We start from the raw sequence: 15,902 nt of genomic DNA, 5'->3' as shown, positions 1-15,902 counted from the left end.
AATGGAAAATCCCAGCACCAAATGATGAATTTGTAGATGATGCCCACTCTGAAATGTTTTTGTAGGGTATGCTGTACTGCATAGTACCCCCAAGAACATTTCATTGCATCAGTTGGCTTCTGGGCTCACGCTGTGGCTCCTCAGGATGGGACCACATGCTGGATTTCCATGTAGCAGACATCCAGCTGAGGGCTTTGCACTAAAGAAACGCTAGAAAAAAGCCTGGTGAAAGGGAGGGAGTACACCTAGGCCTTCAAGCCTTCTGAAAGGCTTCTCAGGAAGTTGCAACTCTAGCAATCAACACTACAGTAGAGGTTGACCACCCGCGGTTCCTACCTGGCCCAGGGATGGGTTTAGTTTGGCCTACATTTTTAAAAAGCAGAAATTGTTTTAAAAATTTGAGCTTACTTAAAAGTTGGGGGGTTCTGCACAAAAACCTGGATTTCTGGCTCACTAGGCATTCTCACTGGCAGTAATCTGTTGGAGCTGAGTGAGATGGCCCTCTTTAGAAAAGTCATGTGCTCTTTAATTTGCTGCAGTCCTTACCACTCCCTAATGTCTAACACCTGGTCCTTGTTTCTCATTAGTATTAACTGGTTTCTGTAGGTGTCTGGGTTTGCCACTTCTTCTATAGAAGGATTCCCTTCTTCTTCTTCCCTGGGAGATAATATATTAAAGCCACTACTCACAGGACTTAAAAATATGTTATGAAACACCAAAGGGATTTAAACAAGCTGTTTGGAGATACTCATAAAAATATAACAGTGTGTAACTTTACACATTATCACTCTTTTCAGAGACCAGGTATTGATTAAAGTAATTGTTTTTCCTTAATATGAAGAAAAAATAAATGTGTAACAGATTTAAAGCAAATGTACACACAAAGTCCTTAAAATAAATCACTAACATTAAAATGATGGCGATTTCATTAAAAAATAAATACCATACTGGAGGAGGCAGACAGGGCAAAGGACAGGGTGAATGGAAGTGAAGCAAGACCTGAAGGATCATTGACTGATGTGGGATTTGCTTGTTTTACCTTCAGGTCACTCACGTCCTTTACTAATCAACAGGCACATGCAGATTTCTGTGTAAACCAGGGGTTGGCAAATGACAGATTGTGGACCATATCAGACCCATCGCCTGTTTCTGCAAACAAAGTTTTAATTGAAATACTATCACATCCTCTCAGCTGTGTATTGTCTATGGTGGCTTTTGTGCTACAAGGCAGAATTAAGTAGCTGCAGCAGAGACCTGTGGCCTGCAAAACTGAAAAACATTTACTCTCTGGCCCTTAGCTGAAAAAGTTTGCTTATATCTGGCTTAAACAATCATCACCACCATTTTCAGACTTGAACTGCTTGAAATTTTCAAGGAAGTTTTTTTTAGCTTTCAGAAGTGGACCTTCTCACTTTGCTGAAGGTGATAAGGGAAAGCTCTGATTTACCAGTGTTGAGTTTCAGGAGGAGGTCCTTCTTTTTTTTTTTTTTTTTTTTTTTTTTTGAGACAGAGTCTTGCTCTGTCAGTGGTGTGATCTTCTCACTGCAGCCTCTGCCTTCCAGGCTCAAGTGATCTCCCACCTCAGCCTCCCGAGTGGCTGGACTACAGGCATGAGCCGCTGTGCCCTGCTAATTGTTGTATTTTTTCTAGAGACGGGGTTTCACCATGTTGCCCAGGCTGGTCATGAACTTCTGGATTTAAGCGATCCACCCTCCTTGGCCTCCCAAAGTCCTGGGACTACAGGAGTGAGCCACTGCACTCGGCCATCTGGAGGTCATTTTTAATGGCAGTTACTTGGGGACCAGTAGCTTTAATGTCCACAGACAATAGCAAAGGAAAGGGCTGTGGGGGGCCTCCTCACAGTCACCATCATTGTGTGGCACCTGGGCTGCTGACAGCTCCTATTTGTCAGTGACAGTGAGGGGGTCTCCACAGCCACACCACCTTCGGCATTAAGCATGATCATTAGCTCCACTTTGCAAACGAGGACACGGGACTAAGACTTACCTGAGGACCCTGAGTGAATAAGGGACAGAGCCAACTGGGTTGATCTGACTCCCAAAGCCACTCTGCCAAGATTGTAGATGCTCTCAGATTTCTGTAGGGTGGAAGCCGAGGACCTACACACCTCATACCTGGAGTAGGGAGCCCCCAAAGTTTGCCATCCATTTCTTCTCCCCTGTCTCTGGAATCTGGAACCTGACTCCAATGGCAAGAACTCATTTCCACTTACCTGGGGCGGTCCCAGTCCCTGCCTCTCTCCCATCTCTCAAACTGTAAATACTCCCAGCCTAAGCTCTCAGCAGCCACATTTTTCAGGAATGTGGTCAAACAAATGTTTAAGAGGAGCAGGCTGAGAATGCTACTTTGCCAGAGCCCATAGTCCAGAGGCTGAACACTCAAGCTTGAAAGTCAATTCCAAGTCCACCACCTGTCTTCATAGAAAACACACTGGTCCAAGCCACCATTACCACTGCCTCCTAACTGGGCTTCTTTCATCCATTCCTGCCTTCCTATATCATCTCCACGCAGAGGCCTGAGAGGTCTTTCAAAAAATCAATCAAGTAACACTGCAGCCAAGATCTACCCTGGTTTCTCATTTCTAGTAGAAGGAAATCCTCAGCGTGGTCAACGAGTACCTTTCCAGAGCACCTCCATCAATCTCTAAATCCATCCCCTCCTCTCCCCCTCACTCCCTCTGGTCTAACCACACTGGCCTGATAGCTCCTCAACTGATCCAAATTAATTCCCCACTGTAGGGTCTCTGGACCTGCTGTTCCTGCAGCCCAGAATTCCCCTCCCTGGATCTTTGCATGGCTAGCTCCTTCTTACCACTTGGCTCTCTGCTCAGAGGTCATCCTTGACCACTCAGAGCTACACTGTCCCTCCGCTCCCCAACTGTAGCAATTAAGGCTACTTAAGGGTATGTATTTGTTTACTGGCATATTCTCAAGCTCCCCTACCAGAATGCAAACCCCAAGAGAAGAGAAGTCTGTGTTACCTATGTTCTACTGCCAAAGCCTAGCCTGGTGCCTCTTATACAGTGGGCATTCCGTACATGTTTCTTCAGCGTCTTCAAATGCAAGAAATTCAACTTTTTCAAAGTAATTCCTAGAGGGAATGTCACTGTTCTTACAGAAACAGCTTCCCAAGTGGCCCCACATTTCCTTCACTCAGTTCCACAAAAGGCTACTCTGCACCTTTCCCCCAGTCACAGCTAAAGTGAGCAATACCCACAGGAGACCCCCACTTCAAAAAATTAGTTCATAGCAGCTTTAAGAGGAAAGTAATTCAAAACATGAAAATTTATTCTAAGTTGTATCTTAACATACGAGATCTCAGCTTTAGATGAATTTTAATGTTTACAAGTGCAAAAGCAAATAAATATTTACCAGTTGCTTTTTTTTTGCACTCTTATAACTCCACAACAGCTTAGACGCAAAAAAAATTGTTGCTAAACATCTTGTAGTCTGGCAAAATGAAGAATTTCTTATTAAGAAAAGCCCTCACAACAATAACAACTCCTCATGCTTATGGCTCCCTTGCAGAAACTATCAGGATGGTTCATTAAGATTTGAGCATATGATAGAGCAACAAAATTGCCACCAGGAGATGAGGATCTCATGCCCTGGCCTCACTGTCTATACACTGGCTCATTCCCACAGCAATGGGAGCTCTGGGAGAGAGGGCCGTATTTCTTGGGCAAGGACCATGGGCCAATACCAGCTCTCCCCAGGCTGAAGCCTTTCATTCTGTAGGTTTCCATGAACAAGCCACTTCTCCAGAGTGGCCTTTCTTAATTAAGGTAGGTCCCTATCCTCTCCATAATTCTCTTGGACAGCATCCTGTTTATTTCCTCTATTACCATTTCACAATCGAAAACTTCAGTTAGTTAGTTTTCCAGCTTGCCAGTTAACCATCTAGCTTGCCGACTAACCACCATCTAGCTTGCTGGCTTTCTAACGTTCCTGCTACCTAACTTCTGGGCATGCGCTCCAGCTAGCTACTGTCTTGTCATCTGTCTGCCTTCCCCTTTAAACTTTTTAGGCAGGGACTAGGATCCCCTGGGACAGCACCCTGCCCAGTCCCTGGCACCAAACTAGCCATTTGTAGATACATTATATAATGAATATGGAATGAAATCTTAATAAATAAACTTCTTAAGATCGATGGCTTTTTTTATTCATGTATATCATTGCCTGGTTGAAGTCCCTGGAGTTATTCCGAGGCAAGAAAACAAATATCAAAGAAAGACTTACTCCAGCGTAAGAGAGTAGGCTTTTGGAGTAAAACAGGGACACACACATACACATTTCACATGTGTGCACCTTTTCTATGACAGACATATATGATTCTAAGAATATTAAGTACCTTCTGAAGCTTCACCTTCTGCTCCCAATTTTTTGAAAAAGGGTACGACTATTCACAGGAGCAGGAACCCTCGAAGAAGACCTGCACCACTTACCTGGATTAACAGTGATAAATCTGCTGTCTTCAGAAAATCGGTCCCCGCGGGACATAGGCTTTTTAGATGGCATTTCGGGCCTCTTGGGATCACTCCCTGCATACTGCTCCTCTGTGGCGGTGGGGGGCACTTGGGTGGAGGTGACCATGTCGGGGTCCAGGCCTGGGCCGGCATCCCTCCTTCCGCCCGTCTGGTCTGTGGGGACGGCAGTGTGATCCTGCTCATGCCCAGGTATAGTCTGATGCCCTCCCTCGGCAGTCCTGTTAGGAGACGAGGGTGTGGGGCTGGGCTCCGTCTGATTCCGCTCCTCGGCAGCGTGGGTCACCCCACTCTTCTCCTTCTTTTCGGAGTCCTTCTCTCCATCCTCCTCGTGCTCCCGCTCCCCATCCTCACTCTCGCTTTTCTCATCCTTCTCTCCTTCCTCGGTGCCCTCGCCGTCCTTGGTTGGTGACGAATCACCATCGGGCCCTGGAGAAGCCAAGGCCTCTGTGGTGGCTAGGACTGGCCTAGCCGCCTGCTTGCTGGCTGAGGCGGCCGTCGGGAGGCGCGTGGGCCACACAGTGCTGGGGAAAGAGGAGATGCCACCACCGCCGAACCCCAGGCCGGCGAGCAGCGTGCTGGTGACCACCGAGGCCACTGTGGCCTGGCTGCCACTGGAGGAGGGGCCCATCCCAGTTGCCATGGAAACAAATGAGAATGGGATGCCAGAGGACGTCCAGGTAGAAGACCCCGAGCTGATGGGGGCCATGTCGGCTGAAGAGGCAGGAGACGCTGTGGGCTGGAAAGGGTCACCCGGCAAGGGTGGAAAAGAGGCAGAAGAAGAAAAAGCAGAGAAGCATCAGTAATTGAGATTGGGAATGAGGCCCTGGTTGTCACCCTCTGAGGATTTTACTCATCTATGCTATGGAGTTTTCCAATGTATGGCATAAAGTTGACATTAGGTGGTCCATGGGTGATCAACTTTTATTTTTAATGGTTTTATAATTGTGAACATGTTAAAATGCATAACTAGTCGATCAAACTCAGCTTTTCACTGATATTACCCAAGATGAGGCTAGGTGCCAAAAAAACTAAGTAGTGTTAAAGCTGACTTACACAACAAAGAAGTCATGAACTGGAAAAATCAGATGGTCATCTGTTCTTGGGGTGATGAGAGGCAGAAGACCTTTGATTTTATGTATATCACTGACACTTGAGTAGATACTCAGCTCTAGGTCTGGAAAGATACTGGGTGATCCAGTCCAACCCCACTGTCTCCCAGTGAGGAAGTGGGTGGACAAGGAGGGAAAGCAGCCTGCCCAGGTCTGCAATGACAGGGTCAGAGGCAGGAGCCATGCTCTGCACTGCATGCTCTGGGCACTGGTTTACATCTCTGCATCTCCATGTTGGGCACTGCAGAGTCACTGTACCTTGCAGTTTCTAAGTTGATCCGTGGGAAAATCTGAGCCCATACAGATGACAACAACATCAACAACAATAACAAGAATTCCAATTAACAAATGCCAACCGTGTGCCAGGGCTTTCCATGCTACTCTGGAGGCAGGCATGATCATCACCCCATTTTGCAGGTGAGGAAACTCAGACACAGAGATGTTAAAGAGCTTACACAAGGTACATGACCTGGAAGGCACAAATGCAGGGCTGCCTGGGTCTAAGACTCGGCTTGTTCTTACCACCATACTAAACTGGGGCTCAAGTCTGGGGGTTTTACTCACATAAGGTATCTTAGGAAAACAAGAAGTGCTGCTCTGAGCTATTAGTCTAATTTTAGCTTGCCTGCTGGGTGATGCTGGACACATTACTTTAACTCACTGAGCCTCGGTTTCCTCATCTGTAAAACGGGAACAACAGTAACACTGACCTTGTGGGCTGCCTGGAGAAGTAAATAAAATAATCTGTGCCTGAAACCCAGGAAGAGCATAGTGAATTTTAGGCTATTATTATTATCACCACTGCTGTGATTAGTATTTTAATTATTCATTATACCAACCAGGAATGGGGAAACTAAGATATTAATTCTGGTTCCAGAAATTTTCAGATCCATATAACTTTACGCAAATGACAACCTCTGAATTTGAGTATATGTCAAATGAAAGGGTTGGAACAGATTTAACTCCTTTGTGGTCCTGCATCGTCTGATCCCACAAATCATAACTAAAAATATGAAGAATTTTTACCTTCACAAAATTATATAATATAACCACCTAACACTGTTGCACAGCTTGTGTTCATAAGGTACTGAATTATAAAAAGTGAATAATGTAATTTTTTCTCTACTATAACCGCTTTACACTGAGCAGTTTAACAACATTATACTGCCACTTCGTGGTGACAGTTTTAACTGCAAGCAAATTAACAACCAGCCACGACAAAGCAATTTCCCATTCTCTACTTACCACTCCTGTTTTCACTATTCTGGTCCCTTGGAATATTCGAGTGGTATTAGCTGAGAAACAAAGAAATTACATTTAAGCAATATAACTTTTTTTGTGGCTCTAACAAGATATTCCTTATGAACACAAATCTGAATTACATATAATTTTCACATGTCAAAATATTATTCTGTAGATTTTTTCCAACCATTTAAAAATATAAAGCCCTTCTTGGCTTACGAGTCCTACAAAAACATGCGGAGAGCTAGATTTGGTTTGTGGGTAGTAGCGTGCTGACCCCTGTCTTAAGCTATTAGTTAAAAAGTTATTTTTCAATTTTTACTGTTTTCTGTTTTATTGAGGTAAAAGCTTACATACGGTAAAATGCATAAAATATAGGTGTATAGTTGAATGAATTTTACATATGTAAACACCTGTGTAACCACTCCCCACAGTAATATAAAGACATATCGCCAGCACGTTGCTAGAGAAAAGGTGTACCTGTGCCCTCATCTAGTCAATGTCCACCTCCACCCCCAAAGCTAGCCACTATTTGGACTCTGTCAGTTTTACCTGTATTTGAACTTGATTTAACTGGAATCGTATTACACCATTGTTCCTCCTCTACTATCTTTTTGGTCATGATTTCTTATCCTTTTTGTGATTCTAATTATCCATCCTTAACTTATTACTGTTTACCTTAAATTGGTAATTTCACCACTTATTAAAAATGAACTGTACAATAATTTAACTCTATTTGCCCACCTTACCTTTTGTGTACTGTTATATTTTTATTCCTACCTATATTTTAAAATCCTGTAAGCTACTGCCAATTGTTTTAAATGGTCTAATGATTTCGTATTAACCATACATTACCCTTTCTGGTGTTTATTTCTTCCTGTAGCTCTGTTCTATGTGTTATCATTAAACAATATAACTTAGAAAAAAATTTTTTTTAAGATTACGGTAAAATACATGACAGAATTTATCATCTTAAAGTTTAACAAAATGGCCAGGCACAGTGGCTCAAGCCTGTAATCCTAGCACTTTGGGAGGCTGAGGCAGGTGGATCATGAGGTCAGGAGATTGAGACCATCCTGGCCAACATGATGAAACCTCATCTCTACTAAAATACAAAAAATTAGCTGGGTGTGGTGGTGAACGCCTGCAGTCCCAGCTACTCGGGAGGCTGAGGCAGGAGAATCGCTTGAATCCGGGAGGTGGAGGCTGCAGTGAGCAGAGATTGCATCATTGCATTCCAGCCTGATGACACAGCAAGACTTTGTCTCAAAAAAAATAAATAAATAAAAATAAAATAAAATAATAAAATAAAATAATTACTATCTTAACCATGTTTAAGTGTATGGTTCAGTAGTGTTAAGGTTGTTCACACAGTTGTACAACCATTACTTCTATCCGTCTCCAGAACTTTGTCATCTTGCAAAACAGAAACTCTACACGCATTGAAGAACCCATTTCTTCCTTCCCCCAACCCTGGCAACCATCACGGTACTTTCTCTATGAATCTGACTGCTCCGGATACTTCATATAAGTGGAATCATACATATTTGTCCTTTTGTGTCTCACTTATTTTACTTAGCATAACGTCCTCAAGCTTCATCCACCTTGCAGCATGTGTCAGAATTCCCTTCCTTTTTGAGGGTGAATAATATTCCATTGTGTGTATATAGCACATTTTGTTTATCCCTTCATCGGTCAATGGACACTTAGGTTGCTTTCACCTTTTGGCTATTGCAAATAATGCTAAACAACATGACTTTTTAAAAACTCCATCAAACTGCTTCTATGTGGTTCTTTCAAAAAACAAAAGTGCTATATAAACTGAAAAGCTGCTTCCTATATACACTGAGAGATTAGCGAAAATGCTGTAATAACACTTGTACCTGCTATGACAGGTACCAAAACCAGAAATGGCAAGTGACCCACATATATTTTTGTTTGGCCTGCAAACTTCTATAAAAACAAAACAAAACAAAACAAAACAGAATTTGCCACCAATATTGTAGATGGTAGCTTTATCTAAAGCTCTCAATCTCTTGCTTATCTGAAAACTCACGATATTGGCAAAACTAGGCTCACCTTCCAGCAGGGCACCATTCGGCTGGGGCTGAGTGTCCATCACCCCCTTTAGGTGGCCACATGGTCTCCAATTTCCCACTGATGGCACTCCCCTCATGTGTACATGCCCCCTGCCTGGCCCCATGGATGCCAGAGTTTGCAACCTTGACCTGATGATATATCCATTTTGCACAGTTGGAAAGTCAAACGTGTGTAGGTCCCAGGTCAAATAAGGTAGCAAAGAAAGCAAATAACAGGGGTCTCACCCAGCCTAAATATAGCCTCCCATGATCATTGAGCTGCTCAAAGATCAATACTTCATGCTTCAGACAGGTGTGCATGCCTCCCCTAGTTAAGACAGGAAAAAAGATTCCCAGGAGGAACTACTTTACCTCCCCTTTAAAAGGAGCTCTATTTAATGCCAACAAACTGAACAGCCACCCCATCAGCATGTGGCTTTCCACTGGTCTTGAACAATCTCCATTGGGGTCAATATCCACTGGGGTCACTGATAGCCCTAGTAACTAGGACTAGCTTCTACAGGACCTTTCAGATCAGGAGTGTTTAACCTAGGGTCCATGGGCCTAATGGGGTTTTTCTAAGCTCTCACTGCAATGGTGCCCTTTTTTCCACTATGCATGTAGGCAACCAATCTCAACTGCATTCGCAGGACCTGCAGCTTTGTCTCTGATTGAAATCTCAGATATTTTCTTACTGCCTTAGAGTTGTTGTAGCTATTTTGGAATATCATTGATGTTCGTCACTATTCAAAAATCACTGGAGCTAACAGACCAACCACTTGTCATTTAATACCTTAATTTTAAAAAGCACATATATTATTATATCCCAAATGTGTTTAAAATATTTTGACAACTGTATTGAATATAATTGGTTCCTTTCCTGTGTATTTCACTTATTTATCTAAAACCAGTCTGAGAGAGGATCCATGGGCTTTGCCACGGATGAGTCTGTGGCTCAGAGAAGAAGCATATAAACCCCCATTTTCCATGACTGTTGAGAACTGCAAAAAGGCTTTGAATATCTCATCAATATTTTCAACCTTTTGTTGAAGACTGCAGGTATTTGGTAATTTTTACTCTTTGGGGTGGGCCATTGCTGTGTGTTAGTGATTGGGCTTTGCAATAAGAAAACCCAACTCAGCTTAGTAGCAGAGTTCTTCTGAAGTCACCTGCACCCAAGCCATCATTTCCCTGTTTGTAAAATAACCCCTACTGCACCAGCTGCCATAAAGTGAGGTTCAGATGAAATAACTTATGTAACAATGCTGTCACTGTGAGCCATTCTACAAATATTGCTTGCTATTATTATTGTTATATTATTGTTATATTTTCCACAGTAAGGTAAACATATTTATTGCAATGTTACATACAACCTAAATAGTGTTATATTTACTATAATATGGTAAATATTCCATGTGGCTTCCTAATGCTCCCAAGCCAGATTAAATTTATTACTGAGAAACCTAATTATTCTGAAAAAGGAGATATCTTTTTTCTTTCCATTTTAAAACTTGCCCCCTTATCAACATAGAGGGATAAATGCCAATATATGTAATGAGTAAACTCACGTCCACCTCTGAGGAAAGAAAGTCTGTAGACAAGGAGACACTGGCCATTTTCAGCAAGTCATCGTCATCAGACATTTAAACTATTCCATGCTTTGAACTTATTAGCTGACAGGGCCTTTTTGAATTACATTATATTACAAACATTTAATTTTTCAAAGTCCATGCAGAAGCCAGGGAGCCCTGGGTCTATTAATCAGGTAAGGCAGTTCTGCAGATTCTAGGCTCTTGGATGGAGCACATAGGAGGCCTTAATCATGATTTATGTGTCCGAAGTTCCAAGGGCCCCGGCCTCAGCAAGCTCCCAGTCTGCCTTCCTTCCTTCTCCCCTAGGCCAGCACAGACCTGGCCTTGGCCTGCAGTCCTTCCTCGACACAGGGAAAGAGACCAATATGTTCACAGTAAAGGTGGGCACAGGGAGCATGATTTATTTATGGAAAAAAATGCAGCTATGCTCATTTCCATTAGTTTAAATGGAAGGATGAGATCAATGTGAACATTAGCAAAGAATATTTAAATACTAAATGGAAAATGTTCAAGCCAGAAGGGATCCTTGCAGGAAATCTAGGCTGGAGAGCTTCTAATCCTAGGTTTATTATTTATTATTTTTATATACTAATACTAAGGGGGGGATTTATACATAGTGCCAGTAACTAGCACTATGTGAATGACTTAACATCCATTACCCCACATCATTCTACAAAGACCCTATGGGGTAGGTACTATGGATACTGCCACTTTTTGGATTGGGAAACTACAGGTTCAAGCAGTTAAGAAACATTCTCAAAGTTGTGCAGCTTCCAAAAGGCAGCTGGGACTCAGACCAGAGGTCCTCACTCCAGAACCCCTTACAGTGCCTGCCAGCTCCCAGGGCCATCAGGGCCAACTTGTGAAAGCTCAGATTCCTGGATAACGCCCCCTGCCCCAGGTAAGATTCTGATGCAGTTGGTCTGGGAGGGGCCCATGAATGTGCACTTCTCAAATGAGGCTTCCAGGAGATCTTGCAGTTGCTGCTGCTGCTGCTGGTCCACAACTCACATGCCTGACTGGGTCCCCAAAGTTGTATGCAAAATTCTAGCACTTTGTAGGGAAAATGTCCAAACCTTCATCAGATTTGTAACTCAAAAAGCGTTCACCACTGGCCTGGTTAACCTGGCGTGGTTTTCTTATTTGACAGATAAGTTTTCCCTCAGGGAAAACTGAGGACCTGAGAAGTCAAGGACCTGATCCAAGAGGACCTCAGGCTGGCAGAGCAGAGTCCAGCACCCTGGTCCCTACTTCCATGCTGGTCTTAAGGCCTGTCATCAAACCAAATCACCAAACTACGGCCCGTGGCTACAGCCCACAGCTGCCTAAATAATACTGGAACCAGGACTGGGATTAGGTTGGCGCAAGTAAGACAGAGTGTATCTATCTCTACTTAAAATTCAGATATTTTATTCATGAGATTTTTACATTAATTTTGCTTTTATTTTTATTTTTGTATCTATTTTATTATATTTTCATTTTTCGAGACGGAGTTTTACTCTTGTTGCCCAGCCTGGAGTGCAGTGGCATGATCTCAGCTCACTGCAACCTCCGCCTTCCAGGTTCAAGTGATTCTCCTGCTTCAGTCTCCCAAGTAGCTGGGAGTAGCTGGGATTACAGGCACGCACCACCAAGCCCAGCTAATTTTTGTTTTTTTTAGTAGAGACGGGGTTTCACCATGTTGGCCAGGCTGGTCTCGAACTGATCTCCTGATCTACCCACCTCAGCCTCCCAAAGTGCTGGGATAACAGGTGTGAGCCACCGCACTCAGCCTAATTTTGCTTTTAAAAAACATCCCATTGCCGGGCGTGGTGGCTCACGCCTGTAATCTCAGAGCTTTGGGAGGCTAAGGCAGGCAGATCACGAAGTCAGGAGTTCAAGACCAGCCTGGCCAACATGGTGAAACCCCCGTCTCTAGTAAAAATACAAAAAATTAGCTGGGCGTGGTGGCAGGTGCCTGTAATCCCAGCTACTCAGGAGGCTGAGGCATCACTTGAACCCAGGAGGCAGAGGTTGCAGTGAGCCAACACCACCCCACTGCACTCCAGCTTGGGCAACAGAGCGAGACTTCATCTCAAAACAAACAAACAAACAAAAAAAATCCCACTAAAATGTTATGTCTCTTGGTCACTCAATTTTTTGGTGCCCCTTAAAATTTTGAGCAAAGGCAAATGTCCCATTTGCTTCACCCTAGTTCTGGCCCTGGACCTTTCTATTAGTCCCTAAGTCATCAGGACCATCTATCTAGATCCAGGAATCTCAAGGATCCTGCATGCAGGCGCTTGTTTGTGTGGCTTGCAAGTCGGAAGGGTGAGGTGTAGCTGCTATGGGCTGCAGTTTTTGAGAGAACAGCTAACTGAATCACGTTAGAAAGACAAAGAGGATATTCAGCGGTACAACTTGGAAGTGATTGTGTGATCTGACACAGCGCTGGACAGTGACCGAGAAAAAGGCCCGAGTACTTGGTTCCCCACAGTTGGAAAATAACAATAAAACAATCAAAAATGTTTTGTTTTTTCTCCCCTCTTCTGCCGATAAAACCTCCAACCTAAAAGACCTAAATTACTAGGGCTTCCCGCATAGGCTTTAAAACCCTACACTGATTCTTCTGCCAGGCTTGTTTGTATTTTTCCCCAGCACCTGAGCAGGAAGAAGCAGAAAGCATTGGGAGGGAGTCTCAGGGGCACCCCGGCCACAGGAGGGGAAGCCAGCCTCACCTTGAAACAGCATCGTCTGGCTAAAGTCGCTGCGCATGTCGTTCCGACACACGGCCTGGACTCGGAACAGGTAAAGGCTATCGGGTGAGACATGGCTAATGGTGGCTTTCTGTAAGTAAAGAAGGAAAAAGCAGTGAGTTAGTTTTGAAGGCCAAGGCACACTTTGCATTCTAAAGCCAAACCTGAGTGCCGTGACAATGCCTGACAGGTGTGATGCTTCCCTGCTGACCAAAGGCTCACTTTGGAAGGAAAGACCGCTTGGACCCTGCCTGGGAATCTATTTTTATGAGCTTCCCTGGGAACCTGTTTTCAACACCGAAATGTTCAGGACACAGGAAAGAGTAACATTATTCTTTTTTTTTTTTATTGAGATGAAGTCTCACTCTGTCACCTAGGCTGGAGTTCAATGGCAAAATCTCAGCTCGCTGCAACTTCCGTCTCCCAGGTTCAAGTGATTCTCTTGCCTCAGCCTCCCGAGTAGCTGGGATTACAGGAGGCCGCCACCAAGCCCAGCTAATTTTTGTATTTTTAGTAGAGACGGGGTTTTGCCATGTTGGCCAGGCTGGTCTCGATCATCTGCCCGCCTCAGCCTCTCAAAATGCTGGGATTGCAGGCGTGAGCCACCCTGCCTGCCCAGGTCTGTTTCTTTACAGTTCAAAGGCCTCGCTGTATTTTTATTACGCAGAGTATGGGGCATGATGCAAGGAAGAACACCAGGCTAGAAGGCAGAGGACATAGTCTCCTCATACCACTCACAAGCTGTGGGGTTCTGAGTCAGTTCTTTCAGCCTCTGCTATCTTCTGTAAAATGGGGAGAGGAAGAGCTACTTCATAGGTACTTGTGAGAATTACATAACATAGGCCCAGCAAACCTTGCTCAGAGGTAGACCACACCGAGCAACAGAAAGAATGCCACTTGGCTAACATAGGGGTGTTGGCAAGCTGTGGCCCACTGTCTGTTTTTATAAATAAAGTTTTATTGGCACAGCCACGGCCATTTGTTTAGGTAGGTGTATGGCTCCCTCCACTCTACAATGGCAGAGTTGAGTAGTTATGCCAGAGATTCCATGACCTGTAAAGCCTCAGATATTTACTATGTAGCCATTTCCAGAAAAAAGTTTGCCAACCTCTTGTCAAACATTAGCCAAATCCAGGTCCCTCTTCCTCACAGTTTCATTCTGACAGCCTTTAAAAACGAGAAAATGGAAACTACCTAAAAAACAGGCAGCACTTGCTTCCTAAAGAAACGAACAACAAAAGCAACTGATTTTCAAAGACTCTTCTTAATAGATGAGTTGTCTTATCATCAAAGCATGTGTTCTGGGCCAAGTATAGAAGCAGCTCTGTGAGCTTAGCCACCGATTGGGAGTGGGTTTTCCCAACGCAGCTATTGAAAACCTCTGAACTGGTATTAAAATGTTATTGTGGCCACACCTGCTGCTGTTGCCTTGAAAGCAGCTTCCTAGTGAGAGGGGTAGGCTAGGGCCATGTTATTTAACTTTAAGCCTCACTGATCTCGTTTGGAAAAGGCGGGCAATAACACCTGCCCACAGGTTTGTGGTGACGATGCGGAAGGTGGATGCCCTCTAGAAAATGCTGCTCAAATGATATGTATTACTTCCAGGTTTCTGGGCCACAATAACCATGATGAGTTAGAGAATAGCTCTGTTGCCACTAAGTCAGCACTCTTCACTCGCTGAGGAATTAGAAAAATTAATTTTGTGTGTCCCCAAAGAAAATAACCAGCCCTAGAAATTCTTGTAAGAAAGAAGTTGCTGTCAATGCATGTTTTTCTCTACATCTCTCTTTTTCTCTGAAACTAATTTATGCTTCATTCTCTAAACCTCTGACCCCATCTTCTGTTCAGAGCGAAATCTTCACTCCATCTATGCAGGGATTTATTAGAATTCACTCCAAGACGGTATCTATTCATCTTTGCATGTTTAATTATTTTCCACTTAGAACAAGAAACTGCATAAGCGCCTAGATGGTTTCTGCTGATTAATGCAAGCCATCTTCACTCCAGAAAGAGAAAAATCCCTTATGGACTTCCAGTTGTGACAAGAGAAAGGTTAAAATACATCATAACCTTGGGTGCCTTTCAACACATTCCTCTTTGATTTCACGAAGCTCATCATTCCCTAACGTGACCCAGATAACAATGTCTAGTGGGGAAATTGAAAATATAAATGGAAATGAAGTAAAAGAATCTTCATCTAAAGAAATATGAAAAGTATTATTCTATAACTGATTGAATGGGCCCGGAGGACTCTGTATTGGAGAAAAAAAGTGATAACAGTCATTAAGAATCCCACTTGGTGCTACTGCATTTTTCATGTGCATATACAATTACGGGTTTCATTATTCCAGAGCCTTCCTTTGATTAACAATAAACGCAAGGCTTTCAAACCAAATGTGTCACTTTGAGTTTTTAGGCAAAGACTTAAAGACAGAAGTTGTAGGCTGGGCGCAGTGGCTCACGCCTGTAATCCCAGCACTTTGGGAGGCCGAGGTGGGCGGATCATGAGGTCAGGAGATGGAGACCATCCTGGCTAACACGGTGAAACCCTGTCTCTACTAAAAATACAAAAAAAAATTAGCCAGGCATGGTGGCGGATGCATGTAGTCCCAGCTACTTGGGAGGCTGAGGCAGGAGAA

The 15,902-nt window shown here is 43.7% G+C and overlaps 1 protein-coding gene across 7 annotated transcripts in view; it reads right to left on the bottom strand.

The window, feature by feature from the left end:
* Positions 1-15,902, bottom strand: part of PTPRG (protein tyrosine phosphatase receptor type G) — a 736,039-nt gene that overhangs the window by 89,194 nt on the left and 630,943 nt on the right. For all 7 annotated transcript variants that reach the window (XM_017006961.2, XM_017006963.2, NM_002841.4 and 4 more), the window contains 3 exons: positions 13,246-13,354; positions 6,862-6,911; positions 4,466-5,243 (listed from right to left, as the gene is read on the bottom strand). In XM_017006961.2, coding sequence (XP_016862450.1) covers positions 4,466-5,243; positions 6,862-6,911; positions 13,246-13,354 — 937 coding nt within the window. The remainder of the gene's footprint in view (positions 1-4,465; positions 5,244-6,861; positions 6,912-13,245; positions 13,355-15,902) is intronic.

This window comes from Homo sapiens, chromosome 3 (genome assembly GCF_000001405.40).
Source record: "Homo sapiens chromosome 3, GRCh38.p14 Primary Assembly".
In the NCBI taxonomy this organism is placed as follows: Eukaryota; Metazoa; Chordata; class Mammalia; order Primates; family Hominidae; genus Homo; species Homo sapiens.
The sequence above is the reverse complement of the archived record's forward strand: the minus strand, read 5'-3'. Positions and strand labels throughout refer to the sequence as shown.